Genomic DNA, 15197 nt, shown 5'->3' with positions numbered 1-15197 from the left:
ATTTTATTAATATCTTAATGTTTTAACACTAGATATTTTCAATATCATAGATATTTTTTAATATTATAGTGTGTTAACACTGTATGTTAACACTAGATATTATAAATATAGATATTTTATTAATCATTGTGTGTTTACATTAGTTATTATAAATATTATAGATATTTTATGAATATTATAGCATGTTAACACAGTGTGCTAACTTTAGATATTATAAATATCATAGATATTTTATTAATATCATAATGTATTAACCCTGTGTGTTAGCACTAGATATTATATTTATCATAGCTATTTTATGAATATCATAGTGTGTTTACACTGTATGTTAACACAAGATCGTGTAAATAGCATACATATTTTCTTAATATCATAGTGTGTCATGACTAGATATGATAAATATAAAGATATTTTCTTAATATCATAGTGTGTTAACACTGTAAACACTAGATATTATAAATATCATAGATAGTTTGTTAATAGTGTGTTAACACTAGATATCACAAATATAGACATTTTATTGATATCATAGTGTGTTAACACTAGATATTATAAATATAGAGATTTTATTAATATCATTGTGTGTTAACACCATGTGTTAGCACTAGATATTATAAATATAGAGATTTTATTAATATCACAGTGTGTTAACACTAGAATTTGTAGCTGTGTTAGTTTACTAATATCACATTGTGTTAACACTAGATATTATAAATATCATAGATATTTGTTAACATCATAGTGTGGTAACACTGTGTGTTAACACTTGATATTATTATAAATATTTTAGATATTTTATTAATATCATAGTGTGTTATATATGACAATATCTAGATATATGCTATATATGTATGAATTATCTCTGGAAAAATCTGATAATATTAGTTATATCTGAGGAGGCTACAAGAAGCCAAGGATGATGAGAAACCCTAAATTTCACTTTATACTTGTTGATGTTACACAAAAAACCTTTTTTCCCCTCGCCTCCCCCTACACTTCCTCCAAAATAATATTTTACCATAACCATTTAGTGCTTAAAAAAATACTCGAAACTTTTTCGTCCATTTCTTGGCTGCCTTCTGTGTGTAGTCCCCTCCTGTATGTGACGTCCCATCTTAGAAGATCCTGAGAGGTAAGGGTTGTGAACGTCGGGAGGACCAGGGCCCACTTGCTTTTCTGATCCCACGCTAGAAGATGTGGGTGTGATGCCTTCCTTAAAGGTTTTCTGTGGAAATGAAATAAATGAGTCTATGTAAAGCACAAGAACATTGAAGATGCTTACTAAATGTTATTTATCTTCATTTTTGCTGCCTTGGTCCTCTCATACCCACTCGTGATTTTAGGCGATTGGGGGAAAATTGCTATTGAACATCATACTCTACTAACAAAGACCATTTGAGAGTTAGATTCATCTCTTTCCCAGTTCAACAGCAGAAAGAAGCCCCACAAATCAAGCACTCCTCTTGTTCTGTACCTTGTCACTTTGTTGCTACTCTCACCAGCCAAAGAGGGAGGAAAATTTCTTGGTGTAATTAAAATATTGTTATAGGCTGGGTGGTGGTGGTAGGGTGGGGGTGGGGGGCTCGTGCCTGTAATCCCAGCACTTTGGGAGGCCAAGACGGGACGATCGCTTGAGGCCAGGAGTTTGAGACCAGGCTGGGCAACATAGTGAGACCCCCATCTCTACAAAAAAAAAAAAAAATTAGCCAGGCATGATGACATCCATCTGTAGTCCCAGTTACTCGGGAGGCTGAGGCAGGAGGATCACTTGAGCCCAAGGGTTTAAGGCTGCAGTGAGCTACGATCATGCAACTGCACTCCAGCCTGGGCAACAGAGCAAGACTGTCTCTCTGAAAACAAAAAATTGTTATAGAATGTAGAGTTAATAACTTTTCTGGAACAAGAAAGCTCTCGTTTTAGATACCCATTCATTCACTCATTCAATAGTGTGCTGGATGCCAGGAATTTAATGGTGAGCAAAATAGACGTGGTCTCTGCCTCCTGATGCTCAAGATCCCTCCCTCTATTTTTAAAAATCAGGTTTATTGAAGTATAATTGATGTACAGTAAATTTTACTCTTTTTAGTGGAAACTTCTATAGGTTTCCACTAAATGTGTAACCAACACAATTAAGATCTAGAACATACTGTCTCGCCCCTCCCGATTTTCTTGTGCTCCTTTGGAGCCAACAACTCTCCCCCAACCTCTAGACCCTGGCAACCACTGATCTGTCCTCTGTCCGTATGGATTTGTCTTTTCCAGAATGTCATATACATGGACTAATACACAGTGTCATCTTTTGAGCCTAGCTGCTTCCACATAGCTTAAAATTTGAGATTCATTTGTGCTGTTTTGAGTAGTATTGCTGAGTGGTATTCCATGGTACCAATGAACCTTGTTTTTTTATTGGAGACAGTCTTGCTCTGCCACCCAGGCTGGAGTGCAGTGGTGCGATCACAGCTCACTGCAGCCTCCACCTCCTGGACTCAAGCCATCCTCCTGCCTCAGCCTCCTGAGTAGCTGGGACCACAGGTGCCAGCCACTGTGCCCAGCTCGTTTTAAAATTCTTTTGTAGAGATGGGGTCTCAATAAGTTGCCCAGGCTAGTCTCCTATACTAGTCTCCTATACTAGTAACTCCTGTACTTGAGTGATCCTCTGGCCACAGCCTTCCAAGGTGCTGAAATGACAGGCATGAGCTACCATGCCTCACCTCAGATGGACCATTTTGATGCCATGTTGGGGACAAAGAAAGAAAGAAAACAACTCGCTTTGACCAAATTGTCCCTGAGCTGATGAATTCACTGGGTAAACTACATTAATTTTCCTCCCGCCCAGTTGTAATAGGAAGATAAAATGTCACTTCTTGCAACCGAATCTGTGGATTATGAAACTCACATTCACTTTGCTGATTATTGTTTTTGTCTTTTTGTTTTGGACAATATGGCTGCAGCTGGCCTGTAAGTGAGCAAAGGCCCCGCTAAGAGTCCCTCTCCCCAGGCTTTATGACACCAGTGCTGAGTCATAGAGGTTCTGCTAGTCCCCAAGAGAAGCACTTTCACCTTTCCTGGTGATGCCTTTGGCTCCTTGAGCTGAGTTTTGCCCGAGTGGGGCTCATGAGGGAGGATGGAGTTTCTTGGGACTACTCAGACCGCCAGTTACTGTGGTCCCAAGAAATGCTGTGGCTTGACCTCACTGCCAGCTGTACAGGCGCCAGTGATCCAGGAATGCTATCAGCCCTACTACCTGCCCGGGTACCGCTACCTCAATTCATGGAGGCCTAGCCTCTTCTACAAGATAGCCAACGTCCAGACCTGCCCGGACGAGAGCACCAGTACCCTGCGGCCGCCCACCATCCTGCCCACACTGCGCTCCGCACTCTTCTCTCGCTATAGCCCCCACGACTGGGACCAGTCCAACCAGCTGCAGGTGCGTGGGGCCGAGGCCTCCCGGCTGTGGGCCAGCCGGCTGACGGATGACTCCATGAGGCTCTTGCAGGACAAGGACCAGCTGACGCACCAGATGCAGGAGGGCACCTGCCGGAACCTGGGCCAGAGGCTGTCGGACATTGGCTTCTGGAAGTCAGAGCTGAGCTATGAGCTGGACAGGCTTCTGACTGAGAACCAGAACTTGGAGACGGTCAAGAGGCGGCTGGAGTGCGCGGCCAATGAGGTGAACTGCCCATTGCAGGTGAGTACAGGGGTGGGGACAGGGCTGTGGCTGTGTCCTGGGGATACTGCACGCTCATTCTGCTTCCCTTGACTGAAGATGAAGGTGGCAGGCACCTTGCAGGTCGGTTTGAGCTGCATCATCGAATACGATCAGTAATACAATCTTAGTCAATTCAGGATAATCCCAGTCAAATCAGGGTTTCTTGGACTGAATAGAATTTCCTTTTCTCCTTGAAGCTACATCAAAGTTGCAGGGGTTTCATGAAAATATTGTGTGCATACTTATGCATGCCTGAGCATGTGTGTGTTCTGGTCCTTAAAGCACATGCTTAAAATAACTGACTTATTTATTTATTTTTTACACAGAGTCTCCCTCTGTCACCCAAGCTGGAGTGCAGTGGCTCGATCTTGGCTCGCTGCGACTTCCGCCTCCTGGGTTCAAGCGACTCTCGTGCCTCAGCCTCCTGAGGAGCTGGGATTACAGGTGCCCGCCACCATGGCCAGCTAATTTTTGTATTTTTAGTGAAGACAGGGTTTTGCTATGTTGGCCAGGCTGGTCTCGATCTGATCTTCCCGCCTTGACCTCCTAGAGTGCTGGGATTGCAGGCATGGGCCACTGTGCCTGGCCCATAACTGCCTTATTTTTCCCCGTAATACTTATCATTTAACATGCTCTATACTTGATTGAATATTAGAATACAGTATAGTCTCCATCAAGGTAGAGATTTTTGCCTGCTTTGTCACTGATGTATTCAAGACTGCTATTCAGTGCAGGGCACCTGTATGTCTGTGTGGGTCCGTAGTGACCAATGTCGGTGCTGACTGGTATTGTTTACACTAATGTTTTGAATGTATTCCCAGCCTAGGACAGGGCGAAGCACAGAGTAGGCATTCAATAAATACATGCTGAATAAATGAGTAAATATCTAAATGTGACTGGGCACAGTGGCTTACACCTGTAATCCCAGCACTTTGTGAGGCCAGGGCAGGTGGATCACCTGAGGTCAGGAGTTTGAGACCAGCCTGGTCAACATGATGAAACCCCATTTCTACTAAAAATACAAAATTAGCTGGGTATGGTGGCACATGTCTGTAATCCCAGCTACTTGGGAGGCTGAAGCATAAGAATCTCTTGAACCCAGGAGGCGGAGGTTGCAGTGAGCTGAGATTGCGCCACTGCACTCCAGCCTGTGCCACAAAGCAAGACTCCATCTCAAAAAACAAAACAAACAAACAAACAACAAACAAAAACTAAATGTGGACATTCCTAACACTTCCTTGGTCTCCTAGCCTCCAGTTGTCTCCCTGCTCAGTTAGGATAGTTTTTAGCCGCATGTAACAAATACTCCACGATAGTGGTTTAGCCAAACAGGAATTTATTTTTCTGTCATGAGGAAAATTCCAGAGGGAGACAGATCAGGCGGCTCCAGCCTCAACTTGGTGCCAGAAGGGACCCAGGCTCCTCTCTCTGTTCTGCCACCCACAGCATGTGGTTTGTGTTCTCCTGTTCCCAAGGAGGTTTTGCATTTTATACTGCAAGTTCCTGCATGCCAGGGGCCTCTTGATATTCTCATTCGAGGCAGGAAGGCAAGGGTAGAACAAAGAGCAGAAGCATCAATGGGCACCATTGCTTTTTATCAGGGAATGTCTTTTCTAGAAGGTCCGTCGTGTGTCTCCATGTTTAGCCTATTAGCCAGCACTCTCATGGACCCTGGATGCAAAGGGGTCTGGATAAGTGAATGTTTCTCACCACGTCCAGGAGAAAATCATGGAAGGGGTTGAGTGGACACTGGGTAAGGAACCAGCAGCACCTATGGGAACTGACTTTGGCCACAGAGGAAGATGATCGGCTGCTCCCTGGAGTGTGTGGGGAACTCAGGACCTCTTGCCTGGAAGCCTCCTGCAGCTACAGGGGCTTCCGTAGGAGAGATCCTGCCTCCGGATCTCCCTGGGAGACATGGCATAGGTTTCTATCACTCTAGGATGTCCAAATCCATGGAATGCAGGGAGCAGATTCTATACAACCCCAGATTCTCCCTGGGAAGAATGATGGGCAGGGCAGCTTTTCAGAGCCCTACAGCAGTATCCCAGACCTACTGCTCTCCCTCCCATTCTCTTCTCACTCCCCCATCCTGTCTGGAAAGTCCAGCTTTGCCTGGTCACATTTGGCTTTCTCTGATCAGCCATGTGGTGGCAGGGGGACCATCGACATCTCAATTCTATCTCCTAGGCTGCCCCCACAATCCAGGCAGCCTCTCCCTGCGCAATGTAAGCCACCTGGTCTCCCAATTCCTGCTCCCTTCCAATCCATTGTCCTTACAGCAGCCACTGGTTCCCTTGATGGCCTCCCAGAAATTAACAACCTTTTTTTTTTTTTTTTTGAGATGGACTCTCGCTCTGTTGCCCAGGCTGGAGTGCAGTGGTGCGATCTCGGCTCACTGCAAGCTCCGCCTCCCGGGTCCACGCCATTCTCCTGCCTCAGCGTCCCGAGTAGCTGGGACTACAGGCGCCCGCCACTATGCCCCGCTAATCTTTTGTAGTTTTAGTAGAGATAGGGTTTCACCGTGTTAGCCAGTATGGTCTTGATCTCTTGACCTCGTGATCCGCCCACCTCAGCCTCCCAAAGTGCTGGGATTACAGGCGTGAGCCACCGTGTCTGGTCCCCCAGAAATTAACATCTTAATTCCGGAATTCCTCCACCCCTCCCCATAACCCCTGTCCCCGCTATTGCTCTAGACTCGCTTCCTCTATTCCAGGGCCAATGGCTTCCTGTCTGTTTCTCTGCTGACCTCAGGGCCTTTGCACCTGCTGTTTTCCCTTCTGGTGCATTCCTGCCCAGCTCTGCATCTCTGCTTCTCATGACACAGTCCTTCTCCTCCTTAGAGAATTCCTCCCTGACCACTCCGCTGGTTACTCCTCACCCACTCACCTCACCCTGAATATTTTCCTCTTGGCCCTTCACACAGTTGGAAATGATTGAGTTCCTGGTTTGTTGATGTTGTTTGAGACAGGGTCTTTGTCTGTTGCTCAGGCTGGAGTGCAGTGGCATGATTTTGGCTCATTAGTTGACCTCCTGGAGTTAAGAGATCCTCCGACCTCAGCCTCCTGAGGAGCTGGGACTATAGGCATGCACCACCATGGCTGGCTAATTTAAAATTTTTTGTAGAGATGGGGTCTCACTATGCTGCCCAGGCTGAGCTTAAGTAATCCTCCCACCTTGGCTTCCCAAAGTGTTGAGATTAAAGGCATGAAGGAGGCGCTGTGCCCAGCCTGACTGAGTTTCTTATGGGTGTTCTCTCCCCTAGTAGAACACAGGCTGTGTGAGAGCAGGGACTCTCAGCCTGGTTCGTTGTGCTATCCCCAGCACCTCAGCAGAGCATGTCTCACAGAAGGGGCTCCGGAAATCCTTGTGGCACGGGTCAGTGACCCCCTCCCATTTCTGAGTTCTCACATACATTTGCATCCTGACATCCAGACCTTGACATCCTGCTTCCTTCTGCTCCTGGGCCCTTTGTGACATCACGGGCTGGTTTGCTAATCACTGCTGTTTGTCAGCTTCCCATCATAGAGCGCCCCTGAAAAGCCCCTTGTCCTGTCCTCTCTTCTGCTCTGCCCAGGTCTGCATGAGAGTTGTAAGGCCCAGGGCTAGGTGGCAGGGTTGTCCTGACCACTTCCCCAAACTGTCCCTCCACTGGGAGATCTGCAAAGAGGGGTTTTCATGCATATTCACAGGTAATATTTAGGGGCAGTGTTCTCAGTGATTTACACTTGTCAAGCCGACTTCACCTGCACAATGAACCTGTGAGATAGGCACCAATATGGCACCCATCTGCAGAGGAGGAAACCAGCAGAGAGGTTAAGCAGTTTGCCCAAATGCACACAATAGGAAGTGGTCAAGCCCCGATTGAAGTCAGAAGAGAAGCTACATGGAAGATGGCCGCCAACACTGTCTTATCTGAAATTATTATGAAGTTTTATTCTATGTATTATTGTATTGTGGGAAGGCTTGGGGCTGCTGATGCAATTATGGGAATCAAAATTGGTTCTTGGGATGCTACTTTATCCTGTTTTCTCTACATGGGCCTTGCATCTCCGGATGCCTTGGTCATATGACAACCCACAGCTCTCATCCGGGGAGAAGGGGAGGCAGAAGCCCATCCAATGCCCAGTAGTGAGGTCACATGAAGCACCCAGGTTTCCGGGAGAAAGGAACAGATTGTGGCAAGGGTGGATGTGAGTCCCTTCTGCTCAGGGTCTACATACAGCTACAGGAAGAATACGTTCTTTCTGCTGCTTCCCACAGGTGGCCTTGGAGTGTCTGTACCATCGAGAGAAGAGGATTGGGATTGATTTGGTCCATGACAACGTGGAGAAAAACCTTATCCGGGTAAGGCATCTCCTGGTTCTGCCCAGCCCCCTGAAGGAGGCGGGAAGGCCAGCAGGTCAGAGAAATTACTGAGCTACCTGTCAGGAGCAGAAGCCACACGTGTCACTGTGTGGAAAGTGAGGGCTCAGGAAGCATGGGTGGAGGTCTAGTTTGCAATTTAGGAACAGGGAGTAATGGAGTTATTTGACCCTCAGTCTTTTCATCTCCAAAATGGGCATGATAATAATATACCAATAACAATAATAAAAGCTAGCGTTTATTGAGCACCTACTATATGTCATAGGCTGTACCACATCATATGCATTATTTAATGTAATGATAATCTATAAGTGAGTGCTTGGCACATGGTAGGTGCTAAATTTTCTTTTATTCTGGGAGTCTATAAAAAGAAAGTAGGGCAAAAAAAAAAAAAAAAAAAAAGGTGGAGCCTCCACAATCAACCCTTAGCTGCCTGGCCCTGGGGTCACGTGGATTGAGGCGGGGCCCCACGCTGACATTTCACCTCCTGGGGTCGAGGGTGGTCAGTGAGAGGGGAGGGGAGAGCTGAGGGCTCTGGCCTGGGAGAGAAGACTGTGAGGTTCTAAGAGGCACTGCTCTTTCTGACATTTTTCATTTCAGGAAGTGGATTTGCTAAAATGTTGCCAAGAACAGATGAGAAAATTAGCTCAAAGAATTGATATCCAGATGCGGTAAGGGCTTTTTTTTTTTTTAATTCCCTCTCCTTGGGGTTTGTTTTAGGACTCTCAGATTTCTGGGGGACAAGCCAGATGGGCCCACTTGTCTCTGGGTGGTTCTTTTGGTCAGTGGTATGCTGGTAAATGTTCAACAACCAGCCTTCTAGGAAAAAAAAAAAGAGTCCTGATCATAGTATCTGCCAGTTTCGCTGGTGTAAATGTTACCACAGTGGCTGATTTTAAGCTGCTAATATGATGTTACTGAGATGTGTACAACTGACTCTCACAACCCGTGCATCGCTGGTTTCTCTTGTTTACAGCGAGAGCCCTGGCCAGAGGCAACTGGCCTCCCTGAGGCCCCTCTTAGCCTGTGGCTTCCCCATTTGAGTTCTGAACCTTGGGAGATGACAGAGGGTGGGTGGTATTAGGTAGCAAGGCCAGGGGCTGGGCACCTCCACAAGGGAGCTGGTGGACGCATTGAGCCAGAAGTCTTCAAACAAAATCAGCTTTTTGTTCTTACAAGATTATGTAACCAGTATCCCGACAAGCCTGGGGGCCCCTCACATAATTAAAGGGAGACTTAAGTTTTACGGGGCTTGGGGCCCATAGTGAAGCCCTTGGCACCAGCTCCCCCGAAAGCAGCCGCCTCACCTCCACCTGCAGCTGGCACTCACCTTTGACTCTTTCAGGGCACGCTGCTCTGCTGGTTTTTCCACTTCATTCCCTCTTGACACAGAGACACAGAAAGCACGGGACAGCCTGGCAACCTGGCAATGGCTGTCCCTCCCGCTGCCTGGTGCACATGGGCAGTTGGCGTGGATGCAGGGGGGGCGGGCACCTTCCAAATCAGCCCTGGGAGCACATATCTTGGTTTGCTGTGCCCCAGAACCCACCTCCTCCTCTAGGAGCCCTTGGATCCCCCGAAGGGGTTAGTTCTGGGTGTTAGGGAGAAAGACATCGCAGGCAAGCTACCCATAGAGCAAAGAGCTTGGTCACGGACAGACACATTGGAGACCCCTAGAAAGACATCGGGGTGGAGGTGTACAGAGAAGATGCAAATATAGCAGGAGGGATGATGGCTGAAAGGACACAAACAGAGTTGAAGTTCAATAATTTGTGTGCCCCTGTTCTAATTTCTCACAATTCCACCTATCACCGGGACTATTGTTACCTATAGTTTGTCTATAAATTGATTCACTTAAAAAAACCTTAAGCACAACAGGGTGACTACAGTCAACAATAATTTATTGCACATTTAAAAATAACTTAAAGAGTATAAATGGGAATGTTTGTAACACAAAGAAATGATAAATGCTGGAGGGGATGGATACCCCAGTTACCCTGATGTGATTGTTACAAATTGCATGCCTGTATCAAAATATCTCAGGTACCCCACAAATATATACACCTACTATGTACCCTTAAAGGCTTAAAAAATAAAATAAAATAAATAAAAATCAATTCAGTAAATAAAATCCCTTAAATGTTCATATTTATTTGTTTATTTATTTGTTTGAGACGAAGTCTCATTCTGCTGCCCAGACTGGAGTGCAGTGGTATGGGCTCAGCTCACTGCAACCTCCACCTCCCAGATTCATGCGTTTCTCCTGCCTCAGCCTCCCGAGTAGCTGGGATTACAGGCCCATGCCACCACACTCAGCTATTTTATGTATTTTTAGTAGAGACAGTGTTTTGCCATGTTGGCCAGGCTGGTCTGGAACTCCTGACCTCAGGTGATCTGCCCACCTCAGGCTCCCACAGTGCTGAGTGCTGAGATTATAGGCATGAGTCACTGCGCCTGGCCTAAATACTCTTATTTAAACAGGCAAATTTTAACAAAGGGAGAATTGGGACAGGCCAGTGTCTTTGTTTTATTGCATTTTTCTTACACTTATTTTTTTAATTACTTATTCATTTTTAATTGACAAAAGTGGTATATGCTGTACATATAAAACATGATGTTCTGAAATTACGTGTGTATTTCAAAACATTGAACTAATTGGAACTAATTAACATATATGTTACCTCACATACTTATTTTTTGTGATGAGAACACTTAAAAGCTCAGTGATTTTCAAGAACACAGTACATTGTTGTTAACTATGGTCACCATGTCTCTGGAACTTATTCCTCCTGACGAACTGAAATTTGTACCCTTTGACCACCATCTCCCCAATACCCCACCCCCAGCCTCTGGTAACAACCATTCTACTCTGTGCTTTTATTTGTTCGCTTGTTTTAGATTCCACATACATGTGTGATCATGAGATATTTGTCTTTCTGTGCCTGACTTATTTTACTTTACATTATATCCTATAGGCTTATCCATGTTGTCACAAATGACAGGATTTTCTTCTTTTTTTAAGGCTGAGTAGTATTCTGTTGTGTATACATGCCACCTTTTCTTTATCCATTCATCTGTTATGAGATACTTAGGTTGATTTCGTATCTTGGCTATCGTAAATTGTGCCGCAATAACTTTGTCCATTTTAAAACTGGGTTGTTTTCTTGCTATTGAGTTGTCTGAGTTCTTTACATATTTTGGATAGTAACCCCTTATCAGAGGTGTAGTTTGCAAATATCTTCTCCCATTTCTGCGGTTGTCTCTTCAGTCTCTTGTTTGTTTCGTTTGCTGTGCAGAAGCTTTTTCGTTTGATGTAATCTCATTTGTCTATTTTTGCTTTGATTTCATGTGCTATTGGGGTCGTTGTCCAGACCAATGTCATGGAACTTTTCCCCTATGTTTTCTTCTAGTAGTTTTACAGTTTCAGGTGTTACATTTTAGTCTTTAATCTATTTTTTTTTTTTTTTGAGATGGAGTCTCCCTCTGTCACCCAGGCTGGAGTGCAGTGGTGCAATCTCAGCTCACTGCAACCTCCTCCTCCTGGGTTCAAGTGATTCTCCTGCTTCGGCCTCCTGAGTAGCAGGGGTTACATGTGCCTGCCACCATGCCCAGCTAATCTTTAATCTATTTTGAGTTGATTTTTGTCTGCAGTGTGAGATAGGGCTCTAACTTATTCTTCGGCATGTACCTTTCCACTTGTATCAATACCATTTGTTGAAGAAGCTGTCCTTTATCCACTGTATGTTCTTGGCATCTTTGCTGAAAATCAATTGACTGTAAATGCCTGGATTTATTTCTGGGCTCTCTATTCTGTTCTTTCTTCCAGTTATTTTTGTGATCTTCTATTTATGGCAAGAGAGAATGGTTTTCCATTTGTAGCTGCGATGGGATGTGAAAAACCGTGGCGCTGGTGGGGACAGGAGGGCTGACGTTTGGGAAGTGGGATAGTTTGAGCCGGCAGAGTGAACTAATCCCAGACTTGAAGTGGGGAGCTGGACCTCAGAGGAGAAATCCTGAGACTGGGATCAGGAGGCCGCTTTTGCAACCCCAGATGATGCAACCAGAGGTGGGGGGATCTGGGAGAACCAGGAAGACTGAGACAGATGGAGACAGTCCCAGAGACTGAGAGACACAGAGAGAGAGATGAGCACTGACATCAAAAGAGACAGAGACATGAAGAGATAAACAGAGACGGGTGGGGAGTAGGGAGACAGACGGACAGAGAGGCACAGAGTCAGATATGCCAGAAGTATCTGGCAAGAGATGAGATAGAGACAGAGAAAGGCAAAGAGAAGGAGAGAGACAGATATGGAGAAAGAGGAAAAGAGGCTGGGCGTGGAGGCTCATGTCTGTAATCCCAGCACTTTGGGAGGCCGAGGTGGGTGGATCACTTGCGGTCAGGAGTTCGAGACCAGTCTGGCCAAAATGGTGAAACCCCGTCTCTACTAAAAACACAAAATTAGCTGGGTGGTGACACATGTCTCTAATCCCAGCTACTCAGGGGGCTGAGGCAGGAGAATCGCTTGAACCCAAGAGGCGGAGGTTGTAGTGAGCCAAGATCGTGCCACTGCACTCCAGTCCGGGCCACAGAGCAAGACTGTCTCAAAAAAAGAGAGAGAGAGAGAAAGAGAGAGGGAGATGCTTGAGCTTGGATAGAGACCGAGAGAGATGAGAGCAACTGAGGCAGACAGCAGGAGAGAGAGAAAGCAAGCACAGAGTGAGTGAGGAAGAGGATGAGAGCAGGTCAGGGCAGCATTTCACTTTGTGGAGACTGGAGGCCGAGCCACGCCGGATGGAGGCTGTTTGTCGCTGGGCAGTGGCTGTGTGTCAGATGACTCCTGCCATCTCACAGCTTGTGCTGCCAGAGGGATTGGGGTTATACTAATTAACCGAGAGCCAGCCAGAGCCTCATTAGCCAGGCAGAGTCTGGTGTGTCCTCACCCCCTTGGGGAAGCTCTGCCACTGACCTGCTCAGGTGGCCAACACCAGGCTCTTGGCTCATGGTTTTCTGCGAAGCCTGAGGCCCGCATCTGGGCAGGGTGGGGTCCTTGCTGCACCAGGTGAGAAAAGGCTCTTCCTGATAGAGAAGGAGCCACGTTTGGTCTTTTCCTGGTGGGCTGACAGCAGGGTGAGCTTGGCATTGGTCTGGCCCTTGGTTGTGGGCCGAGTAGGGAGGACAGGACTGCCTCCTCTTTCCCTAGGCCTCATGACAAGGGCCAGGCAGCTGGACACGCTGGACTCTGAGGCCCCCAGGTTTCCCTCTAATTCTCTAACATGTTTGCTTTCCACATCCTGGCCTCGCTTCACATTCCAGCTCATTAGGCAGGACAGGGCCCCATTTCTCCAGGACTCTGCCAATTTGGAAACCCCAAGGGCCCCGGGACTGGGGTTCCTCCTGCTCCGACATGACCCGAGCTTCCTGATAGGTGGGAACCGCCACCACTGTGAGGATTTCACTTCCTGGCTCCTGGCCTGCTGGGAACCCCTCACCCGCAACCAACATCCACAGCAGGAAAAAAAAAAAAAAAGATGGAGGGGAGGGAGGGAGAGACCCACAGAGACACACAGAGGCTCAGACAGAGAGAAACCAAGAAAGAGACAAAGGTTAGAGAGACAGAGACATAGACACAAGAAGGGAGGGAGAGAGAAAGGCAGAGAGACAGATAGAGAACAGATACACTCGGTTTAGCTGGTGTCTGACATACCCTCACTTAATGGAAGTTACTCCCTTCTCTACTCTAACAATTCTTCTAAACACTTCAAGGCAAAAGTTTCAGCTGCTGCTTATGTGTCTGTACCATCAACTGATCTCTTTTTTTTTCAGCCAACAGGGAAACAGAAAAAGGTCCAGGCTTAGAACCTTCTGGAGGAAATAGATTCTAGCTAGGATTTAGCGAGTGCCTACGTAGTATTAATATTTAGGTCTGAGGTGATCTTCTATTAATGGAAAGGGTGATGGGTTTTTCTTTAAAGACAGGGATGTAAATTTTCCTTTTATCATACATTTATTTACATTTTTAAAGTGATTTTAGGCCAGGTGCGGTGGCTTATGCCTATAATCCCAGCACTTTGGGAAGCCAAGGCAGGCGGATCGCCTGAGGTCAGGAGTTCAAGACCAGCCTGGCTAACATGATGAAACCCCATCTCTACTAAAAAAACACAAAAATCAGCCGGGAGTGGTGGCGGGTGCCTGTAATCCCAGCTACTAGGGAGACTGAGGTAGGAGAACCCCTTGAACCCAGGAGGCGGAAGTTGCAGTGAGCTGAGATCGTGCCACTGCACTCCAGCCTAAGCGACAAAAGGAAAACTCCATCTCAAAAAAATTAATTAATTAAATAAAAGTGATTTTAAAAAGGAAAAATAAGTAAATAGTCGAGTTTGGTATTTGGCAAGAATCGTGGAAGTGATTCTCAAATGTCTGGAATTTGGCAGTAATCTTTAAGTCTAAGCTTCTTAGCCGAGATACCAACCAGCCCTCCTGGCTTAAGCCCTGGCCCTGATCCATTGTCCTCTCTTTACCTCAGCCCAGTCTCTGATCCCACCCAGCCCCAACCCTACCCAATTCCTGTCTTCACCTAGCCCCCGACCCCGCCCAGTCCCTGACCCCACCCAATCCCTGTCCTCACGTAGCCCCTGACTCCACCCAGTTCCTGATCCTGAGGTCCCTAAACATCTGGTGTTTCTAGCTTCTCTGTGTTGGCACGTGTGATGTTGTCGGCTTGGAATTCTCATTCCCCCATAAGGTCTACTCCTATTTATTGTGAAAACCCAGCTCAGACACCTTGGAAAGCCTTCCCTGACCACCCTCTCACCCTCAGTTAATGGTTTCCTCTGTGTTGTTTCATATTTTCAAACCTGCACAATGCCCTTACCATTCTGTTCTGTACATATATACATATATTTTATATTTGTTCACACAAATCTGTGAGCAACCTGAAGGGAGTGACTGGGTCGTCTTATTTGCGTCTCATCCCTCGGTGCCCAGCATAGGGTCAGACACAATGATTGATTTACAAAGTGATTTGACTTGCATCAGGCTTTGTCCAAAGTGTGGATTGATATCTTCAAAATTAGGTCAGCAAGCTACAGCTGGAGGGACAAATCTGGCCCGCCATCTGTTTTT

At 46.3% G+C, this 15197-nt stretch overlaps 1 protein-coding gene and 1 long non-coding RNA gene across 2 annotated transcripts in view; one reads left to right on the top strand and one right to left on the bottom strand.

Annotated features, from left to right (window-relative positions):
• The first annotated feature begins 3067 nt into the window (after positions 1 to 3067).
• The window catches only part of TEKT5 (tektin 5), a 67430-nt gene continuing 55300 nt past the window's right edge, over positions 3068 to 15197 (top strand). The window contains exons 1-3 of the mRNA NM_144674.2: positions 3068 to 3688; positions 7973 to 8056; positions 8675 to 8745. Of these exons, the coding sequence (NP_653275.1) occupies positions 3125 to 3688; positions 7973 to 8056; positions 8675 to 8745 (719 nt within the window). The 5' untranslated portion in view covers positions 3068 to 3124. The remainder of the gene's footprint in view (positions 3689 to 7972; positions 8057 to 8674; positions 8746 to 15197) is intronic.
• LOC105371079 (uncharacterized) lies at positions 5025 to 7135 on the bottom strand. The gene is made up of 2 exons (NR_188625.1): positions 6599 to 7135; positions 5025 to 5380 (listed from the first exon to the last, which is right to left on the bottom strand). It is a non-coding gene; the product is annotated as an uncharacterized LOC105371079 (long non-coding RNA).

This window comes from Homo sapiens, chromosome 16 (genome assembly GCF_000001405.40).
Source record: "Homo sapiens chromosome 16, GRCh38.p14 Primary Assembly".
Lineage (NCBI taxonomy): Eukaryota > Metazoa > Chordata > Mammalia > Primates > Hominidae > Homo > Homo sapiens.
The sequence above is the reverse complement of the archived record's forward strand: the minus strand, read 5'-3'. Positions and strand labels throughout refer to the sequence as shown.